Source organism: Homo sapiens, chromosome 1 (assembly GCF_000001405.40).
Source record: "Homo sapiens chromosome 1, GRCh38.p14 Primary Assembly".
NCBI lineage: Eukaryota > Metazoa > Chordata > Mammalia > Primates > Hominidae > Homo > Homo sapiens.
In genome coordinates this window covers 168693392-168717202 of record NC_000001.11, presented here as the reverse complement: position 1 = coordinate 168717202, position 23811 = coordinate 168693392, and the positions used below count along the sequence as shown (strand labels likewise).

The 23811-nt window shown below is 41.2% G+C and overlaps 1 protein-coding gene across 1 annotated transcript in view; it reads left to right on the top strand.

Moving 5' to 3' along the window:
* DPT (dermatopontin) overlaps positions 1-21735 on the top strand; it is a 33739-nt gene extending 12004 nt beyond the window's left edge. Inside the window, exons 2-4 of the mRNA NM_001937.5 lie at positions 2857-2982; positions 16079-16186; positions 20588-21735. Coding sequence (NP_001928.2) covers positions 2857-2982; positions 16079-16186; positions 20588-20654 — 301 coding nt within the window. The 3' untranslated portion in view covers positions 20655-21735. The remainder of the gene's footprint in view (positions 1-2856; positions 2983-16078; positions 16187-20587) is intronic.
* The last annotated feature ends 2076 nt before the right edge of the window (positions 21736-23811 follow it).

The window sequence follows — 23811 nt, the reverse complement described above, 5'->3', positions numbered from 1 at the left end:
GCTGTGAAGAAATAGGAATTCTTTTACACTGTTGGTCGGAATGTAAATTAGTTCAACCATTGTAGAAGGCAATGTGGTGATTCCTCAAGGATCTAGAACAAGAAATACCATTTGACCCAACAATCCCATTAATGGGTATATACCCAAAGGACTATAAATTATTCTACTGTAAAGACACATGCACAGGTATGTTTACTGCAGCACTATTTGCAATAACAAAGACATGGAACCAACCCAAATGCCCATCCGTGATAGACTGGATAAAGCAAATGTGGTACATATACACCATGGAATACTATGTAGCCATAAAAATGAATGAGATCATGTCCTTTGCAGGGACATGGATGAAGCTAGAAGCCATCATCCTCAGCAAACTAACACAGGAACAGAAAACCAAACAGTGAATGCTCTCACTCATAAGTGGAAGTTGAACAATGAGAACACATTGACACAGGGAGGGGAACAACACACACTGGGACCAGTCGGGGGTAGAGTGTGAGGAGAGGGAGAGCATTAGGACAAATAGCTAATGCATGCGGGCCTTAAAACCTAGATGACAGGTTGATAGGTGCAGCAAACCACAATGGCACACATATACCTATGTAATAAACCTGTACATTCTGTACTTGTATCCCGGAACTTAAAGTAAAATAAAAGAAAATTGTAAAACCTAGATACATGTATAATAAACTACACAGTTGCACATACCAAAAAAAAAAAGCTAGATCATCAAAGAGCCATAGGTCTCAATTTACACCTTAACCTGCATTACTGAGCCCCTATAGCTGAGTTTTCTAGTCTGCCAGAACTTCTTACAAGTCCTGGGAACAGGGAATTCAAGCTAATTTACATGGTTGACCGAATACCGAGCCCATCTCTCAATTCTTCTCACAACATAATAGCAAAGTGATTGATACAGAACAGTAGTAGAGTATGAGATGTTTAATAAATGAATGAATAAATAAATAAATAAATAAATGCATATTTGAATTATATACATTAGGTGAATAAATGAATAACAAGTAATAAATAATAAATTTAAAAGGACGGATGATTTCTGATGACAGACAAGTAATATATTTAATATCTAATTTTGTTAGATCTGCAAGTTCATTTTCAGCAATGGAAAAGAATAAATGAAATCCACTTGTTGATAATGTTACAATTTGTGTGTCAACAAGGCCTCTCTCACCAGTCAGCACACGGTACTTACTTTATGCATTATATTTTCTGAAAACTTATCTTCCCATGAAATACAAGGTTGCATTCCAGCAGCTGTCTGGCCATGCACATAGACAACTGCCTGCTCTGGCTCTGCCCACTCATAAGAGGGGATAGACCAATGGCTGGGATGGTGGGAAATGCAAAGAAGGAGAGGTAACTGAAGAACTATTTTGGAAGGGTTTGTGAAAGAGCTCATGCTATAAGGTGGAAATCCACTGGATTTCATCAAAGGGCCATGGCTCACCATACCCATCTGGGCTTTGCATGCTGTGTGGGGGCAGAACAAATGATCATCCTTGTGCTCAATTTCCAGGGCTCTGCTGTTAAGCAGAAGAAATGTTTATTTGAAATTCGTCAATACATTGTGCTTCTCTTTGTCTTCTTTTTATTTTAAATTCCAGTAAAATGAATTATAATATCTTTTATTTTAAATGACATGCATAATACAATCTTGAATTTGTAAAATTCTAGATGTAAAATTCTAGATCCTGGATAAGTAGCAAGAACAGTGGAAATGCCCTGACTGTGTAGAGCTTATGGTCTTGTGGGTGGTGGAAAGATTCCTGGATAAGTAGCAAGAACAGTGGAAATCCACTGTGGTCAGGTAGAAAATAGTGTTATCATCACAGCAAAAAGTGGGAAGCCTGAAGACGCCATAGGAATTGGGCCCAGGAATGGGAGAAAATCATACTAGAGATGGAACAAAGGAAGAAATGATTGTACTATTCTAAGTCAATGTTTAGTTCAAAAGGTGCTGTGAAGACCAGCAGCAGCACAGGTAGAATGAAAGAGCAAAAATTATTTCTTGTCTGTGGACTGGAGTGGAGCGGTTATATATTTGAAGAATTAGGACTAAGCAGCTAGGACAGGAAAGGGATCTTTAGAGGGGGTTTGAGGCATTCAGTTGGCCTGTTGCAACTCTGTAAGGACTGCCTCCACAGCCAGGATTCTTGGTGGCCACCAGGAATAGAATTCTGAGAAAAACATGCCATGGCTGTGTAGAGCTTATGGTCTTGTGGGTGGTAGAAAGATTCCTGGATAAGTAGGAAGAATCTGGGTTGTGGTCCCAGCTTTCCTACTGGGCTGCCCTGGGCACATTCACCATGCCCATCTGGGCTTTGCATGCTGTGCAGGGGCAGAACGAATGATCATCCTTGTGCTCAATTTCCAGGGCTCTTCTCTTAGGCAGAAGAAATGTTTATTTGAAATTCATCAATACGTTGTGCTTCTCTTTGTCTTCTTTTTATTTTAAATTCCAGTAAAATGAATTATAATACCTTTTATTTTAAATGGCATGAATAATACAATCTCGAATTTGTAAAATTCTAGATGTAAAATTCTAGATCCACCCATTTATGCAGGCTTCCATCTAACAATATATATTGAAAGAGGTATGACAGGGGCAGTGTTCCCTAAATTTTGTTCAGTTAGAAAATTCTGAGTCACTTAAATTTTAATGGAGGGGCTATGTTATTTCTACAAATATAATAAAGACTATTATTTGCATAAAATGGAATAAATTGTTAAGAATCTAGGTCAGAGAAAGAGTGTGTAACTGTGGCAGTGGGGTCTTGGGAAGGGGTCTGTGTATGTGTCACTGTTCTTAGGTTCCTGGGGTTGTCTTCTCTTCAGGTACCAGACGTGCTCCAACAATGGGCTGGTGGCAGGATTCCAGAGCCGCTACTTCGAGTCAGTGCTGGATCGGGAGTGGCAGTTTTACTGTTGTCGCTACAGCAAGAGGTGCCCATATTCCTGCTGGTGAGTCTGGCAGCCGACCAAACCCTCATGACTCCTGGGGTGGGAGAGGCACCTAGGAAGTGCTCTAGCTTCAGGTAAGCTTGAGGGTCACACACAAGCCTGGAAGGCAGCGCTGGCATATAGACAAGAATGAATGAATGACTTAGGAGGATGTTCCCGCCAAGAGGGATCTTTCAGGTTATCCAACCCCCCACATCCTTCTTTTGGCAGAAAAGGAAACAGAACCATAGAGCCGGCACTGACTGGCCCAAAGTCACCCACCTACTCTGTGGGAATGCCAAGTCTTAAGCTTAGGCCTAATGACTCCCATCCCAGTGCTGTTCTCCTTCTCCCCAACTTCTGGTAACTTCTCATCATATCCAAGGCTGCAGGGCCTATTTGGGAACCTAGTTTCCTGTAGTCTTTCTCTGGGAGAAACCAATCCTCTCATGGGTCAGAGTCTAGTACATAGTTATAGACAGAAAAAATAAAATATTAAAAAATTAAAAAATTAAAAAAAAAGATTGTGCTGTTTTCTGGATCCATTTGGAATTCCAGCCTCTGATGTTTTGTTTCTTTCCCTATCCCTGGGCTCATGCCGAATATCTCCTGACCTAGCCTTCCAATTGACTAGGAGAATGTGTATATTGTCATTTGCCCTGATGACTTACACTGGGTGTTGATAACACAACCGGCCCAGGTTTTTTTAATCTGAAAATGAGCCAGGCATTTCTGCCTTGGGCAAGGGGATCCAGAAGTGTCAACATGTGAAGGTTGGCTCCCTCAAGTGATTGATCTCTCTACAGTTTGATGCTTGCAAGGACAGCTTCACAGGTCATGCTTATTCTCTGCAATCAGACAGCTTACTCCACAGATGCCCAGTGGCACACAGTATCTCTAGGGATACAAAGCCCCAAAAGCTTAACGTTTTTCTTTTTAAAGTAAGGACCGATAGTAAATTCAGAGCTCAAAGTCACCTGTCACTGTATGATGGAGCAGAAACCTCCTCTAGTTCTTCAAAATCGCTTCCATAAAGCAGCTTTTACTCCTCTACAGTGGGTGAACAGGCCTGGCAAAGGATTACGATGCCACTGGGATAGGTCCTGAACCAAAGACCTAAAGATCTCTTGCAGTGGAGGAGGTAGAAGGAGCACCAGTTTGGGCAAAAAGAAACTTGAGTTTCAGTCTCTGTGTTGGCCTTTCCTCACTTCCCTCCCTTCTTTCCCCTTTCCCCTTCTCCCCTCCCTCTCATAACTCTGCAGGCTCAAGCACATCACCTAAAATGATGACCACCTTTTTTGAGTCTCCAAGATCTTTAAGACTCTGATGAAAACTATAGACCTTGTCTTCAGGGGGGAAAATGCACTTAGCATGTTAATACAATAGTTTGCAGAGAATTTCGGGAGTCCTTAAACTCCCTGAAGGCCATTCATGAACACACTGCCAAGAACCCCTGGATCATAAGTTGAAATTCCAAGGACTAGAAGATCTTTCAGGTTGTGTTGAACCCTAAAAATGTCTTAATTCCAAAGACACTTTTGGAAAAGATGATCCAGATGCCAGAACTGTTTTGAGAGGATGAAGGAAGTTCCAAAGACGAGTGCGCCCTAATGAAAGGGGAGAGTAGGTAGGAGCTTGGCCTCCACAAATCTCTCATTCCTGGTCTATTAACAGAATGGCACTTCCCACAAGGAAACCAGCCTCCCTTTGTTGCAAAGCATTAAAAGCCAGTTAAAATGTATGTAAATTACCTGAAAGAGCAAGCAAAACCTAATACTCAGTCAGTGAATTTATTTACTACATTAGTATAACTTTCCCTGAATCAGACTCCAAAGGAACACATCAGGGCTGGGGTATGCTGGGTGGCCAGGAGGAGTGGGTTCAGGAGCAGGGGAAAGAGTGAGGAGGTGAGGAGGTAGCCCTGCACGGGCTGCAGTGGGGAGGAAGGGGAACATGGACAGCCTAGGGGCAGCTGGAGGCCTGGATGTTGGTGGCTCTGTCTCTCTGCCCTTCGTAGATGCCTCTGTCACAGCACTTTATGCATTTTACCACCTGTGTACAGTTGCTCCTCTCTACCTGGACTTCCAGTGTCTGGAGGATATGGGGCCACTCACTGATCTTTGTATTTTCAATGCCCAGTATAGTGCTTGGAACATAGTGTCTTCTTAACAACTGTTGAACAAATATCCACATTAATAATTGTGGAGGGTGTATATAATGTGAAGTGGCCCAGAAAATATAATTCTCTTACATAAAATTTTTTGTTCTCTCCCCCATCCCTCCACTTCTGCCCAGAATATAAGCTCTACACAAGCAGAGATCTTTGTGCTGACATATGCCAAGCCCTATAAATAATGACAGGCACATAACATTTGTTTGGATGAAGGAATGACTTCAGGCTACTTTTTGTTATGAGCATTAAATAAGATAATATATTTCTGGCCTTGCCACTGTCTATGATCACACAGAGCTGACCTGTCTTGAAACAGAGTCCCCTTCACCCTCCCAGATGCAGGAGAGACCCAGCCTCCTCACCAACTAACAGGACATTCAAAGGCAAACTCTGCCCAGGAACAACCTAGCAGGTGTCAGGTCATTGCAGGAAGCAGAACTTGAGAGCGGGGTTGGTTATGCAGAGGAACAAGACATGTGACCAGTTGGACAGTCTGTTGTTAGATGTACTAACTCATTCTTCCCCAGGCAGAGAGGAGTAAGCTGAGGCAGCAACATTCCTCATCACAGCAAGGCTCGAGGTCTCTGCAGAGATGAGTGGGAGAGCCTGCTGTGTCTGTGGCCATGCCATCATGGTTGGCTGGCCCCTGCCCAAACAGAACAACAACAGATAGTGGGCTTGGGCCTCAAGGCTTTGGGTGACCAGGCAGGCAAGGAGCTAAGGCTCACTGGTTTTAGAAAATTTGTCAAGGCCGGGCATGGTGGCTCACACTTGTAATCCCAGCACTTTGGGAGGCCGAAGTGGGCAGATCACAAGGTCAGGAGATCGAGACCATGCTGGCTAACATGATGAAACCCCGTTCTCTACTAAAAATACAAAAAAAAAAAAAAATTAGCCAGGCTTGGTGGCAGGCACCTGTAGTCCCTGCTACTCAGGAGGCTGAGGCAGGAGAATGGCATGAACCCAGGAGGTGGAGCTCGCAGTGAGCCGAGATCACGCCACTGCACTCCAGCCTGGGCGACAGAGCAAGACTCTGACTCAAAAAAAAAGAAGAAGAAGAAAAAAAAAAGCAAAGTTGTCAAACAGAAGAAATAGGGGGTGGATGAAGGTAAGTGTGAGAGAAAGGGATAAACATCTAAATTTTCCTGGAATTCCCATATTCCGTGGATCTGTGGGATCTGTGTTAACACTCTGAGCATTGCTTCTTGAAGCTTATCCTGTCTGTTTATTTGAATGCTGAGACCTGAAAAAGACAGGTCTTTGTGTTTCCAGTTCCACCGTTGTTTTAATGATGCCCCAGATTTCCAGTGGTCACCTGGAGACTGGTTCCAGGATACTTCTGCTTCCCCAAGAATGCTAGGTATCGTTCCTCTCACATACTTTAGAAAGGCTTCTCAAGCTCCCTTAGATGCAATTCACCAGCTAAGATGCTAAAAATGTAATGATCATATAGACATATATGTAGGAACAAAGTCTCAATGTTAAAGATTGATAGATAAAGATGAGCAATTTTGAGTTGCCAGAGATATTCATGTCTCTGCTCACAAAGTTTACCCAAAGCCTTGATCTGCAATGACTTTGCCACTCTGAACCCACCCCAACCCCCATACCCTTTACCCTTCCTTACCCCATCCTACCATCCAGACATGTTGCTGTTGGTCTGTGGAGCCAAAAGGTGGGGAAAGTACAGAGAATTAATCCAAAAGGCATGACAAGTCAACTTTGAAACAAGTCCCACTAAGGTGTGGTTCCACCTGCTGGTTCTATTTCTGAAGGCATGGTGTTAGAGCTGAGAGCTATCACGGTCACCAAATAAAATGGTATTTTTTCAAAGAAAACATTGGAGAAGCAGCAGAACAAGATTCAAGTGTGCACCATGGTACACAGTGTATGACTCACTATCCCGCTGGTGTGTCTAGACATTTTAGTGGCATCTTTAAATTGCCTGAGTCATGATGTTGTATTATATGTCTTTCTAAATGCCTCCAGGGCATAAATTAGGTCTTATTTTTTCAACATCTCCAGGATATTACCCAGCACAAAATAGACTCTTAATAAATGTGTCAGATGAATAACTGAATGTTGCAAGCCCCTAGGAACAGTAACAATGGTGAAACCTGACATTGATGTGATGATGTTTTATAGTTGACAAAGACTTCTTTCATGTACATTATTTTATTTGATCCTTTTAACAGCCTTACAGAGTGAAGTGAGAACTCTTTTTCCTGCACCTTCCCACAGTGAAATGCTGATAACCCTCTTATCTGAAACCTTCCCTTACATGACTTTAATTAGCTTGAATTACCTCCCAGGGAACTGGACCCATGTGGGTGGGAACGACATTTTTCCCCTTCCCTCTTTGAAAGGCATTCTTCAGCACGCAGCCTGACACCGTATGAACTAGCTAAGTGAATATCTAGCGCCTGCGTTTGTGAGCACTTAGGGATTCAGAAATATCATCACTCTGGGCTGGAAAAAACAAATCATCCAACCAACTCCCAAATGAGTATGAGATTTATTTGTTTGGTGGGAACCAAGGTGCTGCTCTCGTTTCAGCTTGTGCGGTTTCTCTTTGGATATTACAGCCTCACTGGACTCTGGCAAGAAAGCAAATTCCTGAGAGATGTGGACATGCCATTAGGAAATGGTCTCCACTGGATTGGATGAATAGTGAATTTTATAGATATTTATTTAGATATGAAAATTCTAATTCTTAGTCTAGTGGTCTGCAAACCACAAACACATGTCACTGAAGTTGCCACAACCCTTTAGACATTGTTTGTCATAATCTCTCTTCTCCAAACAGCTCAGCAGCTGCAGGCTGCACACCAGACTGTCTACTGTCCAGGCGGAGACTCTGTGTCCCAGGATCTGATGGTTGTGAATCATTTTCTTTTCCAAATGGCTCTTCTCCAGACCCATGGCCTTTCATTAGGTTCATTGGATAATATCTTTTGACTGTAAAATAATGCATCCATTTAGGTAACCTTTACTTTTCTCTTCAACCCTGATATTCTGTCTCTCAGACTTTGCATTCTCCACTGCCTACTTCCCCACTCTCTGTGTGCAAGTCATAAGCCAGAGAGTGCTTTTTTTAAATTCCTGTATAGCTCTAGTTAACATCAGTTGATTAGAACATTCTTATCTCTCCCACCCCAAAGCACCCAGTCAAAGCTAATCTTTAATTCTTAGCCTCTTTGTTCAGATGTTAATACAAGATAGGGAGTGTTTGCATGTTCACTCCTGTAATGCTGTTTTAGGGACATGAACAATCTCACAGGCCTCTGCATTGCTGTGCCTGTCATATGCCACCTGTGCCCAGACAGCCTCCTGCAATTCAGCTCCCAGAGGCCTGGTAAGAAGAGCAGCTTCCATTAGGTATATCTCCTAATGTTAGTTAACAGGTGCAGCACACCAACCTGGCGCATGTATACATATGTAACAAACTGCACATTGTGCACATGTACCCTAGAACTTAAAGTAAAATAAAAAAATAAAAATGAAGAGCAGCTTCCATACTGGTCCTCTGCGCAAGCTGGAAGCTATTACTATAGAGATGGACATACTTAAGTTTTGAGGAAATTGGACTAGATGTCTCAATTTAAAGGAACTTATATTGGGTTTAGATGCTCTGCGCCCTACTAAAACCATTGCCTTCCATTGCATGATGTACATAGCACTCATTGTGCAGACAGCAGCCTCTCTGAACTTGAGCAAAATCTATCATCCCTTTCATCTGCTGGAATGGTTTCCATAATTATTGTGCCATATTTAAAATGTAGACATGTACAATTGGCACTCCATATCTGGGGTTCCCTATCCAAGAATTCAACCAACTTTGAATCAAAAATATTCAGAAAAAAACAATAAAAATAAAAATAACAATACAACAATAAAAAATGATACAAATACAAAACCATATAGTATAATAACTACTCACATAGCATTTGCATTATCTTAGGTATTATACGTAATCTAGAGGTGATTTAAAGTAAACAGGAGGATATTCATAGGTTATGTGCAAATGCTACACCATTTTAGATCAAGGACTTGAGTTTCTGAAAATTTTGGTATCCATGGGGGTCCTGGAATCAATCCCCTGCAGATGCCACTGATGACTGTTGTATTAGTCCATTCTCACACTGCTAATAAAGACATACCCGAGACTGGGTAACTTAACAAAGGAAACAGTTTAATTGACTCACAGTTCCACAGGGCTGGGGAGGCCTCAGGAAACTTACAACCATGGCAGAAGGAGAAGCAAACATGTCCTTCACATGATGGCAGGAAAAAATGCCAAGCAAAAGGGGGAAAAGCCCCTTATAAAACCATCAGATCTCGTGAGAACTCACTCACGATCATGAGAACAGCATGAGAGTGACCGTCCTCTTGATTAAATTACTTCCCACTGGGTCTCTTCCATGACATGTGGGGATTATGGAAACCACAATTCAAGGTGACATTTGGTTGGGGACACAGAGCCAAACCATATCGACTGTATTTGGTGCCTGCATTATAGGTGATACCTCTCTCCTTATGTTCAAACTTCAAAAGCAGAAATATCATAGATGTGTCTGGCTAAGTATTGGTTAACCCAAGGCCAGCTACTTAGAACAAAGTAAACCTCTCAGTTACAAACCAAATCTGATGCTTTATTCTATCTAGTCTGCTTCCCTCTACTATAATAGATTCTAGAGGCAATCATTCTTACTTCTATTTATTAATTCACTTAAGCAGTCAATGAATGTGAATGGATATGAAATAATAACAATTCATAGGCTTTGGGTGAGACCCTACTAATGATAATGATGATAATAATAATATTTATTTATTGACACTTACCACGTGTTCCTGTGTTACTGCATTTAATCCTCACACACAAAAATTATGATACTATCATACAGATGAGGGAACTGAGCTATAGAAGTTGTGGCTCCCTTCAAAGTTCCAAACTTGACTCAACCAGTCTATCTGCCTCCAAATCCCATGCTCTTTGCATAGTACTGAGCTGTCTCTAGATGAGGAATAAGACTTCTACAGGTGAAATATTACATAATAGCACAGTAGGCATCTGGTAGAAAACAGAGAATAAAACTATTTTAATTGGAGGGGAGCTGTTGAAGGTCAAGTAGCCCCCACTGACATGCAGGCCCAGGGTGACCACCACATAATGTGGCTAATGAAAATCAACACGAGTCAAAGTGAATGTGCTTACTGACTAGCCCTGGGCTTGGACAGTGAGTTAGAAACTCAGTTCCAAGAGAGCAATTTGGAAAGTGTTCAGGGACTTTCCTCTACTCATTTAAGCTACAGATATCCCTGGAACTGTTATTCCCTCGTGTTGTGATACATGTCTGAAATGTTTGAAATGTAAAGTCCCAAAATGCCATAAAAGGACAGACATGGACATTTGTTTTTATTTCACACACCTCAGAGCCCCTGGGTTCAGATTTTCTGTGCAGAGAAGGGCACTTGGGTGACTACCAGAGGTCCCGCTTGGCCAATCCCCAGCTCTTGTGGGAAGAAGCCTGGGGATTGTTCTCTGTGGCTGTTTTCCTTTACACATAACTCCATTTGGGGTTTATTTTTTCTGTCTTTACAAAACTAATTCAAAGGGGGTCTGATGTAGCTCCTAATAAAGACAAACTAAATTAATCTGAAATATGTTCATTCCTTATAGCTTACTTGGAAAAGCATTATGCAAGAGGATTGATCATGAACAGACTGGCTTTATTTAACAAACTTCTCAATGATTTGACTGTCAGAAAGGGACATCTTTTTAGCTGAATATATAAAACGTAAGCCAACCTCAACACACCAAATCCGCAAATGTTGAGTTTCTCCTCCAAACCCACCTCTGAACCAGATCATAAAAGCATATTTGATTCCATGCACCAGTGATCCCTCAAAGAGCTCACTATATTGGCCATCATGATGTTATACAGTATTCTATTATCTTGCTAAATATATAGTGCTGATGTATTAGTCCATTTTCATGTTGCTGATAAAGACATACCCGAGACTGGGCAATTTACAAAAGAAAGAGGTTTAATGGAGAACTCACAGTTCCATGGCTGAGGAAGCCTCACAATCATGGTGGAAGGCAAGGAGGAGCAAGCCACATCTTATGTGGATGGCAGCAGGCAGAAAGAGAGCTTGTGCAGGGAAACTCTCATTTTTAAAACCATCAGCTCTCATGTGACTTATTCACTAGTATGAGAACAACACAGGAAAGACCTGCCCAAAGGTTCAATTACCTCCCACTGGATCCCTCTCACAACATCTGAGAATTCAAAATGAGATTTGGGTGAGACACAGCCAAACTGTATCAGCTGACATGTCACAGGACATTTGAATGGGATATTTAAAGTAATGTGCTAATTGAGTGGTAGAGAAATAGAAGAAAAACAGAATTCAATATTGAATGACCAACAGAAGCTTCTCTAAAATGTTGTTTGAGCATAAGCTGGGCTATAAAAGATCATTTGGAAGACATTCTAATTTTATTCTTATTTTTTAAAAAGCTGAAGTATGGCTTCCTCAGGTACCCGTTCTGATCTGTTCATATGTAAATGCTGGGGTTTTTTTCCAGTTTTTATGGTAGGGAGTCTGTGGTGTGTGCTTTTCTGGTGTCCCCACAAAGTGGGCCAAGGTTGGGGATATGATGTTTCCTGACCATGAGATGAAGCTGTATCTGTTCATGTGCACATCAATTGGAGGGAAAGTCCTGAAAGAGGAGCTTCCAGGTGACACCGACTAATCCAGTTGCCCTAATTTCCCCAAGTGAAACAGCTGTAACAAACACATCTCAGTGCTATGAAGTTTGACTTTCATAGAAGAAAAGTGTCTAGCTCCGAATAAGGTCTCGTAGAGGTGGGTTTTCACAAAACCTTACGCTGAGTCACTTTATGTCAAGGAATAGATTGAAAATCTTTACTTTAACTATTAAAAACCTAATAAGTTCTCAACCCAACCTCTGACAATGAATAAAATTGGCCACTGTATATAACTAGATTGTATCTCTATTTCCCTTTCTAAAATGGATGTGAGAGCGTATACCTGGACTCAGCTCTGCAATATGTCTGTTCTTGTGGCAACGGAGCCGAGACATCTATCAGCAGCAGCTCAGTCTATGATATTGTATCATAGCAAACATTCATTGAGTCCAGTTGGATCTGTTAATAATTTTAGAGCTTCAAGAATCTTAGATGAGAAAAATCCTATATCAATCTTAAAATTGTCTTCAGTTCGAACTGATTTCCCTCAGCTCATAAGTAAAATATTATTAATTTTTTTACCATCAGCTTCAGCTGACACAAGAGTTGTGCAAGTGGCTTTATGTTATCAAGTTTTTTCTTAGCTTTGGAACAACTCTCTGTCTTTCATCTTGACAGCAGAAAAAGTGCTGTGAAGTGAGAAACTGTACCACAAGAGTCATTCATCTGAAAGTGCGCATGCACACACACACACACACCCCACACACACACCAGTAGTTTTGCTTTTTTTGTTGTTGTTGTTGTTTGAGACGGAGTCTCGCTCTGTCGCCCGGGCTGGAGTGCAGTGGCGCGATCTCAGCTCACTGCAAGCTCCGCCTCCCGGGTTCACGCCATTCTCCTGCACAGCAGTAGTTTTTATTAAAAATTAAGTAATAGCTAAAATTGAATAAATCTATTCAAACACTTTACTTTAGGGGAAAGGAGAAAATAAGGCTTCCCATAGAAATGTTTGAAAAGTAGACTCATTTCAATAAAGGCATCTTCCTGACCTGCGCTCTTCTTCATCTTGCCAAGCTGAAGGTTTGTTTGATTGTTTTAATTGGTCTAGGAATGTATGGCAATGCTCAGTATGAAGTGTGTTTTTCCAAAAAACTGCTTAAAGTGACCTAGTAATTCACAAGGAATTCACAAGGAAGCTGCAACCACACCGAACTCTTCCCCGACCTACACTCGCAAAGCCCAGTGTCACAGCTTAGGAAACCCTGATCATTCTGCTTCCTTGTAGCCTCTTTTAATTTCCTGAAAAGTCCCTATGCCCTGTCTCAGTGTCTAGTTCTGAACGTTTAAATTCTTTTTTCTCTCTAAGGAGCTATTACTGGGCTTTCACTTATTAGGACACTTTGTGCGCGTGTGTGTGTGTGCGCGTGCACATGCAGTGTCATCAAGCGCTAAATGCAGCCACATATATCTGGTTTGAAAATACAGAACACAGCATCCTGGGCCACATTGACTCAATAGTTCTTCCTATGGATGGTGTTTGGGAGGTTCACTTTCTACCAGTGATTTGGGTCATTTCTCCCTTGGTATTTTTATTTCATAAAGTAGGAGAGATTTCCATCGATATCCAACCTCCTTCCCTCTCCTCCTTTACCCAGGTTTCTCTAGGACAGTCTAAACTCAATCCCATGGTGTTATAACAAAAACAAGACAAAATAACAACAACCAAAAGTCACACAAAACAAAACCTGTCTGGGACCAAGAAGAAAAAGTACCAATGGTCATGCACCTCACCTTCTCTAGGACATTCTAGAAATTCACTGGACATCAGTACCTCATGGAGAGGCTTCTCGGACAAACTGTCCAGTTAGACAGGGGGCTTATGTCTGGTCACTACCAAAAATGAAGCAACAGAGAATCCTAATTAAAGAAAGCATGAAATAACATTTTCCTTCTTTGAAGCTTAAAACTTCTTGATGTTTTTAAAGGTAAGCTTTTCTTTCCCACTTTATTCCGTGATATTTATCCAAGTATCTGAAGACAGATCAGAGTGGTCAGTAAAAACTTAAAAAATAAAAATCTAGCTTCATAATTTCCAAATACTTTTGGCAATTGGATTTAGCTTAATGCAGTGTTGCTGTATGTAGATTCTGCCTTAGCAAAAAAAAGAAAAAACACACAACTTGGTAATTAATTTTTACACATTGTATCCAGAGATGCTTCAAAAGTTTTAGAAAATATTTTTTGTTCCCTGAAGTAAGGAAAACACACACCCCCTCCCACCCCCATGCAACCTCTTATTCTAATTTGCATTATTGATGTTCTCAACAAACCTCTCTTTCCTTGGGTTAACTTTAATACAGTCCTTGTTAGAATTCTCATGGATCATAAATCAGTGGGATCCAAGTAAGGCCCTATTAGTTCTACTTATAAGACATTTACCATGCTGGGCGCAGTGGCTCATACATGTAATCCCGGCACTTTGGGAGGCTGAGGCGGGTGGATCACTTAAGGTCAGGAGTTCCAGACCAGCCTGGCCAACATGGTGAAACCCCGTCCCTATTAAAAATACAAAAATTAGCTGGGTGTGGTGGCACACACCTGTAATCCCAGCTACCTGGGACACTGAGGCAGGAGAATCACTTGAACCCAGGAGGCGGAAGTTGCAGTGAGCCGAGATTGCACCAGTGTGCAACAGCCTGGGTGACAGAGTGAGACTTGGTCTCAAAAAAAAAAAAAAAAAGACATTTACCTGAAAGGTAAAGTCCTGCTTCTGGATCTCTTTAGAAGCACAAAATAAGTTTCTGGATTTGCAGGACCTTATTTCCCTTCATGAACTCGTTAAGCAAAAACACAGGTACCTCACTTTGGGTTGGACTTGGCATCCTGATAGAGCATAATTACGTCTTAGGAAAAGTCAAATCAGAGAACAAGGGTTAGTGAATAATGGGTAAAAGGAATGATTATGAACCAAGAGAATGAGCTAACCATTGATCTTTCTCCATCTGTGCACTGAGATCCTCCTAGGAGCCCTTACAGTTTATAAATCAATCTTTTCATGATTTAATGACAATCTTGGAGAAAGATCACCATCAGTCTGCAGAGGAGAAGATCTTTCTAGCATTAATAAACAGTGATCTGGTAAACCCAAATCAGATGAAATTATTGACACTCACAAACTAGTTGTTTTCCAAGCGTCCCTGGGGTGTGGATAAAGACTTTGGAGGAGCTATTTCATGGTAAAAGGACTGTTTTGGTCCTGAAGGTTCCAGTGGCAAAGCCCTTATGAGAACTGGGGGATTCTAGACTTTATTCCAGGATGGACTACCATGGACCTACTCATATGAAGGCTCAGGATTTACTCAATATTGGAAGAGAAGGAAAGGAAAGGAGGAAGAGGAAGAAGAAACAAAATAGTTCTTAGTGATTCAACACCTACCATGTACTAGTATAGCACACTCATCACTCATTTTTATTAGTTCCAATGACAAACCTATAAGGTAGACTTTATTCTTCTACAGATCAGAAAACAGATTCATTGACTTTCCCCAGGCCATATATTTATTCAGCTAATATTTATTATGTATGTGTTTTAGGTGCTGGATGAACAATGGTGGACAAGGCAAAAACTCTACCTTTGGGGAGCTTACATTTTAATTAAATAATTTTTGAACACTTTGTTGACTATAACTCACAATAAGAAACATTAAACTATCGCAATATGTACATCTTATAAACAAACACACATATATATTTGAAACAAAATGTTTACATACATAGACTCGTCCTTACTGCATGTGATGCATGCTTTTATATTTTCTTTTCTATTTTATGTCTCTTTTAAAGCCAATTAAATTGATTTTGTTATCAACTAATGAATCATAATCTAAAATTTGAAAACATTGTCTTAGTTGACTTGAATAGAATAGGAATAGTATTGATATTAATCAATATCAAGAATTCCAAAGTTATTTTGATAATTCCAAAGCCTGGGGAGGTATCTTCATCTTTTTCAGTGCACAGTTTAATGGCCTAGAAAAGGAAGATGAGAAGTGGGAGGAGAGCTGTCTGTTTCTTCACAGCCTGGAGTTGTTTGGTGGATGTCATTTAACTTCAGTCTGGATTTGCCAGGATGCTCAAACTCCATCTCTTCTTCATAGTGTGTCTTCTGTTTGCTCCCAGCAATAATAATGTGTTTCATTTTCCTCTAACCTTTGTTCTTCCTGCATAGGCTAACAACAGAATATCCAGGTCACTATGGTGAGGAAATGGACATGATTTCCTACAATTATGATTACTATATCCGAGGAGCAACAACCACTTTCTCTGCAGTGGAAAGGTGAGAAAGACAGCCCCTTCCCAATGGGCTAGGGTTAAAGGAGTTGGGACTAACTCCCTGCAAGGATTTTACCTGCAGGAATTTATAAACACACACACACACACACACCCACACACACACACACACGTAGAATACAAGTGAAAATTTCTTACATGCACATATATTTCTGCAGGAACTTTGACCTGAGGTTTTACTTATCTTAGTTTCCTACCTGGTCAAGGATTAACTGCAGTTTTGGCTGGAAAATGGGAGGCAGTGGGAAGTGAGCTGTTCTCATGAGCTCACCTCATGGAGCTGCTCACCTTGCAAGTGAGGGTGGATTCCAGCCTGCTCAAGAGCAGAGAGTCCTAAACTCGGTATCCCTTGATGGTCTAAGCTTTTCCCCTCACTCAATTTCAAAGAGCACTTTTCCTCATGAAACACCAAGAGGAGAAGGCAAATATGCTTAGAGGAGTGCCCATTGTCAAAATGGACCCCCTTCCACCCCGTGCCTCTATATCATCCCCACTTTGGGTTTTAGGAAAGAAGAGAGAAGAGAAAGAAAAGGGATTGGAGATAAGAAACACACAGAACCTACTGTCTTAGTCTGGGCTGCTATACCACATTACCTTAGACTGGGTAACTTACGAACAATAGAAATTTATTTTCACAGTTCTGGAAGCTGGAAAGTCCAAGATCAAGGTGCCAGCAGGTTCAGTGTCTGGTGAGGGGTTGCTCGCTGCTTCAGAGATGTTGCTTTATTACTGTGTCCTCACGCATGGTGGAAAGGGCAAGCCAGCTCCCTTCAACTTATTTTATATGGGCACTAATCCCATTCATGAGAGCAGAGCCCTCATGGCTTAATCACCCCCCTAAAGGCTCCTCCTCCTAATACTATCACATTGAGTATTAGGTTCCAATATATAAATTTTAAGGGGACACCAACATTCAGACCATAGCATCTACCAACCATATTTAGAAATGAAAGGAGTTAACAATCCCTCAGTAAACCTGCAAAAATTAATGAAAGAAGAGAATTTAAATGGCCTAAAGATAAAAACAGCACTAACACTTTTTTCATCACCTTTCTCTCACAATCAACTCCTTAATCCTATCTCAAATACATCAAAACGGTAAGAAGAAAACAAGAATTGTACTCCCTATTAATATAGAGAAATGTGTGGGTAAATTCAGGTGTTAATGATTGGTTTGGCCTACTTTTAGTCAGCCGATAATCACTTTACACAGAAATGAATTCCTGAAAAGTTACCAATAAATATTTTGCAAACCAAATAACACTTACATTAACTCATTAGATAGTATGCTATGATGAATTTGAGTGTGACACATCTTTGGTGTGTGTCTGTGTTTTCAAACAGAATTACATCTTAAATAAAGTGAACTTATTTAATATGACCTAGAATTTCTTTTTTTTTTTAAAAAAAAAAAAAGACATTAAGTAGCTCTGGAAAGGCACAATATATGTTGCAGGCTGATCAGCAAAAACCTTTATGTTTACCCATAGGCAAACCACTCAGTTTGCACACATTACTTATTTTTACTTTAGATACACTTTAAACTAGCTTAGTTACCAATTTTCTAGAAGCAGCAAATTAGAAAGGGAAACGAGTATATACTACTTAGAATGAAACTCATTCCACCAATGAGAATAAATAGCTGGATGACATGATAACAAATATGCTTAAGAAAAATAAAGAAAATGAAAGGCTCAAGAACTCAAAGAACATGGGTTGTCATTTAGCAGGGCCATGCTCCCCAAAGTGCAAAACGAAATAACAGGGGTGCTCAATGCTCCAAATGATGACTTCAGCTCAACAAGAAAATTAGTTCTATGTTCCCTGTTTAAGAAAGCAGGAATTAATACAGTAAAGGAAGAGTGCCATCCAAGATTAGTATGAAATAAATATATCTGAGTAGTTAAAATGCTCAATTCAGTTTTCAGTAAATTCACTTTTTAGTAAATTTTTCGGTTATGTGGATTACCCAGAATCATGAAAAACTGAAATATTATGTCATTGCATTAATTTAAAATGAGTATCCTCCCCCCAAAATAAAATAAAATAAATATACTCATGCAACTTTGCTACTGTCATCAAAAATAAGTAGCTTAATGATCCACAACTTGGGTTTCTTCTCCTCTGCTGAAAGATGCTGAGGTCCCCAGCTTGGAGAACTATTGTCAGGGCAGGACTCCTTGTGCAAGAGCTTTCCCTCCACATGCAAATCATAGTGGTTTCCTCTTAGAATGCTGTTGTTCCATCTATGCGCTATTGACATCTAGGGCCAGATATTTCTTTGTTTCAGGGTCTGTCCTTTGCATTCTAGATGTTTAGTCTACCCACTAGATGCCATTAGCACCCCACCCTAACCAAAAGAAGTTGCAGACATTGCCAAGTATTCCCTTGGGGAGCAAATTTGCCCCCACTGTCCTGGTGTGAAATCAGAGACTGAACCTGGTGGAATCATTTGGTCTTCATAAGACCAAGTCTAAGTTTTGCTCAGCATCAATTAATAGCCTTCTAAAAGAGTAGTTTGAATGCCTGATCATAAGATCTTGTTTATCTGTGTTTGTTGCTACACAGATAAATAAGACCTGGCTGCAGTAATTACAGACATTTGGTAAACCCACAGGCCACCAATTTTCTAATTTCCTTCTAAAACAATCTATGACCTCTTTTGACAATTGCAGGAATCAAAATATCACCCAGGCCCTGGTATCACCCAGACCCTCAAGTTGATCACCCAGATTTGTGTTGAGGGACTCTATACCCAATTGTTCTAAACAAACGACCCGGAGCAACAGACTCAGAATTAGAAAGCCTGCCTTAGGCTGTTTGAGCAGAGTGAGCCCTGCTTCCTAGGACTAAGAGCAATCAGCCCCACTTTTCAGTTTAGAAGCTGGATGGAGGCCTTGTTAGTCATAGTGTTTAGGATAAATTGTTGAAAAGAGGGCTTGCAGATTGAAAAGGGAGATAGATAATTCTGAGTTTGTAAAGGACCCCACCAAGCTTTGGAATGATTTGCATAATTAAATATGGAAAAACTCTTCGTTTTTGCCCTTTATCAGGACTGTGCAAAGGGCATGGCAGCCACGTGTTCTTCTGGGCTTAAGATTACCTAGTTAGGCAGACTGTGTGGTTTAAGAGAAAGACCAAGATTTGAGTACAATAAACTGCGAATCTGAAATTGTCACCTATTACTTGTATTACCTTAAAGCAAGTTAATTATTTCTCTGAGCCTGGTTTTTCACCTAAACAATGAATCGTTGTGAGGATTAAAAGAGAAAACACGTAAAGCATCTGGTGCAATGCCAGATATATTAGAGGCTACAATTATCATTATCACTGTTCAACAGTATTAGACCACAGGAGTGTCATGCAATGTAGGCACTCAAAACATTTCTCTTAAATGGATGAATAAAGAACATAAATTCACCCTGAGCAAAGAACATTCCTTGAAATGTATCCACACCACATTTTTCAAAATTTAGTAATGCTATGTACACTCTTCCCATCCCCAACCACTTAAACACATAGGCAATTCATAACAATTCTTGTGATGCCAGAATGGCAGCCATTTTCTTTTTTAATTTAAGGGACTTTTTCATTCCTCTGTAGCAGTGTTTTCTGAAGGGAAACACATGTATAGCACAGAGCCCAGTGCATGGTGAGCACTCAGCATATGTTAAGTGCTCAGAAAGAGTCAGTGGGAAAATGGACGGACTTTTTAAAACAAGATTTTTTTCTTTTTTTTGAGACAGGGTTTCACTCTGTCACCCAGGCTGGAGTGCAGTGGCACCATCTCGGTTCACTGCAGCTTCAACCTCCCGGACTCCAGCAATCCTCCCACCTCAGCCTCCCAAGTAGCTGGGACTACAGGCATGCACCACCACACCCAGCTAATTTTTTGTATTTTTTTGTGGAGTCAGGGTTTCCACATATTGGCCAGACTGGTCTCAAACTCCTAGCCTCAAGCAATCCACCTGCCTCAGCCTCCCAAAATGCTAGGATTGCAGGTGTTAGCTACCAAGCCCAGCCTAAAACAAGATTCTTTACAATGAAATGGAGATGATGTTAAATAAATGCTTTTATTCCAAGCTGTTAACCCACAGGTCCTTGAGGTACTTTCTGGAGGCAGCAGGGGTGAGCTGACCACCAGTGATGAACAGAGGCCTCCACACAGCCAGTGACCTAATTAGTCACCTTCAAGGGTGACCTGAACTCACAGATTTGTCGGTTCTTGGGAAACTGCATAAAGATGTCTTCTAAGAGCAAAGTGAGATTAAGTGTCCCTTCAGTTCCCAGATCCTCCAAATGTTCTCTGCTGCTGTTTCCCCAGCAGCGATTCTTCCTGCCATGTCCTTTCTCACTGACATTCATTTTCTGACTCTCCCTCCCACAGGGATCGCCAGTGGAAGTTCATAATGTGCCGGATGACTGAATACGACTGTGAATTTGCAAATGTTTAGATTTGCCACATACCAAATCTGGGTGAAAGGAAAGGGGCCGGGGACAGGAGGGTGTCCACATATGTTAACATCAGTTGGATCTCCTATAGAAGTTTCTGCTGCTCTCTTTCCTTCTCCCTGAGCTGGTAACTGCAATGCCAACTTCCTGGGCCTTTCTGACTAGTATCACACTTCTAATAAAATCCACAATTAAACCATGTTTCTCACTTTTCACATGTTTCATAGCAACTGCTTTATATGACTGATGATGGCTTCCTTGCACACCACATATACAGTGCGCATGCTTACAGCCGGGCTTCTGGAGCACCAGCTGCAGCCTGGCTACTGCTTTTTACTGCAGAATGAACTGCAAGTTCAGCATAGTGGAGGGGAGAGGCAGAACTGGAGGAGAGGTGCAGTGAAGGTTCTCTACAGCTAAGCCTGTTTGAATGATACGTAGGTTCCCCACCAAAAGCAGGCTTTCTGCCCTGAGGGACATCTTCCCACTCCCCTGCTCCACATGAGCCATGCATGCTTAGCAATCCAAGTGCAGAGCTCTTTGCTCCAGGAGTGAGGAGACTGGGAGGTGAAATGGGGAAATGGAAGGGTTTGGAGGCAGAGCTGAAAACAGGGTTGGAAGGATTTCCTGAATTAGAAGACAAACGTTAGCATACCCAGTAAGGAAAATGAGTGCAGGGGCCAGGGGAACCCGTGAGGATCACTCTCAAATGAGATTAAAAACAAGGAAGCAGAGAATGGTCAGAGAATGGGATTCAGATTGGGAACTTGTGGGGATGAGAGTGACCAGGTTGAACTGGGAAGTGGAAAAAGGAGTTTGAGTCACTGGCACCTAGAAGCCTGCCCACGATTCCTAGGAAGGCTGGCAGACACCCTGGAACCCTGGGGAGCTACTGGCAAACTCTCCTGGATTGGGCCTGATTTTTTTGGTGGGAAAGGCTGCCCTGGGGATCAACTTTCCTTCTGTGTGTGGCTCAGGAGTTCTTCTGCAGAGATGGCGCTATCTTTCCTCCTCCTGTGATGTCCTGCTCCCAACCATTTGTACTCTTCATTACAAAAGAAATAAAAATATTAACGTTCACTATGCTGAAAATATTCAGGGTCAGTTTTTGCTCTCTACTCTTTCCCTTGCTGATTATTTATCCATTCATTCTGAAAATCCTGGTTAGCATTGTGGTTTGTGCCAAGCACCATGCAGACCCCAGGAATAAAATGATGACAATGACAGAGTGTGGTGGGGGAATCAGATATTTAAGACATAAAGTGCTAAATGCTTTACTTAAGATTAAACAAAGGAAGGAATCACATTTCTTGGCCTTTGAGTTCAGCCTAATCTTTTCTCAGCATCCTTCAACCTTCCTCATCCCAAGATGTCACATGAATTTTTAACCACAGGAAGTCCCTCTTTTCTTTATCCACAGCAGATTGCCTTTTTTTTTTTTTTCTGATCCATGCTGCTCTTCCCTCATCCTCTCTCCCAGTGGACCCAGAAGAAGAGCCAGCCAGGCAAAACCACAGGGATCGCGTACCTTGCCATACACCCCCTCTAGGTGGTCAAGAAGGTGACTCTCAGCCAGTGGTGATGGTATTTCCCACGGCAAGATCCCAGCATTGTGATGGGGAAGGCAGGGCTAAGGATATCTTCTCCTGCCTTAACTCCTAAAACACTTTTTCATATTAGAGCTTTGCTTTATTTCCTCCATGTCATTGTTTCTGACTCTCTGGCAATTTTAATTTATAATAAGATGCTTCGGTGTTATTTTTCACAAAGGGAGCCATTAATATTTTAGCAATTTCAGCCTGGTTCAGGATGGAAACCAGGAAATAGCCTTAGTTGGGTATGTGGAGCACAGCAGGAAAGGAGACAAGCAATGCTGATTGGCTGACTTGGCATCCATGAAGAAAGCAAATGGCTGGTGAGAGGATGGGGAGCTGGGAGGGTGCAGGGAGCATGGCTGGGGGAGGAGAGGCTGCAGCTGGGAGTAGCCAGGAGACTGCAAGAGGACATAAGTCAAGAAAAAAAACTTCTTTAAAGCAATTCAATAAATAGTGCCTGTGCCAAGTGGAATAAAAGGAGTTTCTACTAAGAAGAAAACTATTATTTGCACGTAGATAGGCCAAGGACAATGACAGAAAAGACATTGTCAACTTGGTTTGAATCTGAATAATTATACTTTATGTTATAGGTCTTTCAATAAGAACTAAGTGTCAGAGTGAATACTAAATCCCAGATCTGGTAACTGCAAGTTTTGTTCTCTGTTTTTTCATTACTCCAAACTTTCTACTAACTTGCTCCACAGTCTTGGATAAGTCACCTCTCCTTTCTAGGCCTACTGTTTAAAATGAGGACATTTATCTAGGTAACCATTGTGGTTTCTCGCAATTCTAAGAATCTCTGAACTCTATCACCTCCTGAATTGTTTATAAAGGGATTTTCTAAGGCATTTTCTTCCAGGAAAGGAGCCTGGAACTAAAGATGATAACCTAGGGCCTACCGCTGGCTCTGACAGAGGGTGGCTGTGTAAGATTAGAGAAATCCCCAAGCCCCCTTCCCCTCATCTGCCCAGTACAGGTAGGAATTCCTTTCTAAACAACTTTACAAGATGCTGGCCACATACAATGAGATAATAGAAAGAGGAGATACATGATTCCTGCCTCACAAGGCCTTCAGCCTAATGGTGAGATGAGAAGATAGATGATGACAATAACTGCAAGAAAGTTTCCTGAGGAAGCCGAGTCTATGCTTGGCCCTGAAGGACAAGTAGGACTTCTGAGGTGAGTAGAAAAGACTGTAAGCTCTGGCGTCAGACTTCCTGGACACAAATCATGGTCCTGTCACTTCCCAGCTTTATGACCTTGGCCACGTCACCTACCTTTCCTGAGACTCTATTTCCTTACCTGTAGAAATATAGTACTTACAACACAGGGTTACTGTAAGAATTAAATGAGATCACATAGTGTCTTGCATATAATAAGTACCCAATAAATGTAGTCAGAGAAGGAAAACAGTGTCAGTATATATTGGAAATAAAATTCCTTAGGTAAGCCGGATTTTAGTAAACGTCAATAATAGGAAACATTTATCAAGCAAACTTAAGTCCCACTTACATTTGCTCAGTAACTGAATCAATAAATTATCAAGTGTTTATTATATACCAAC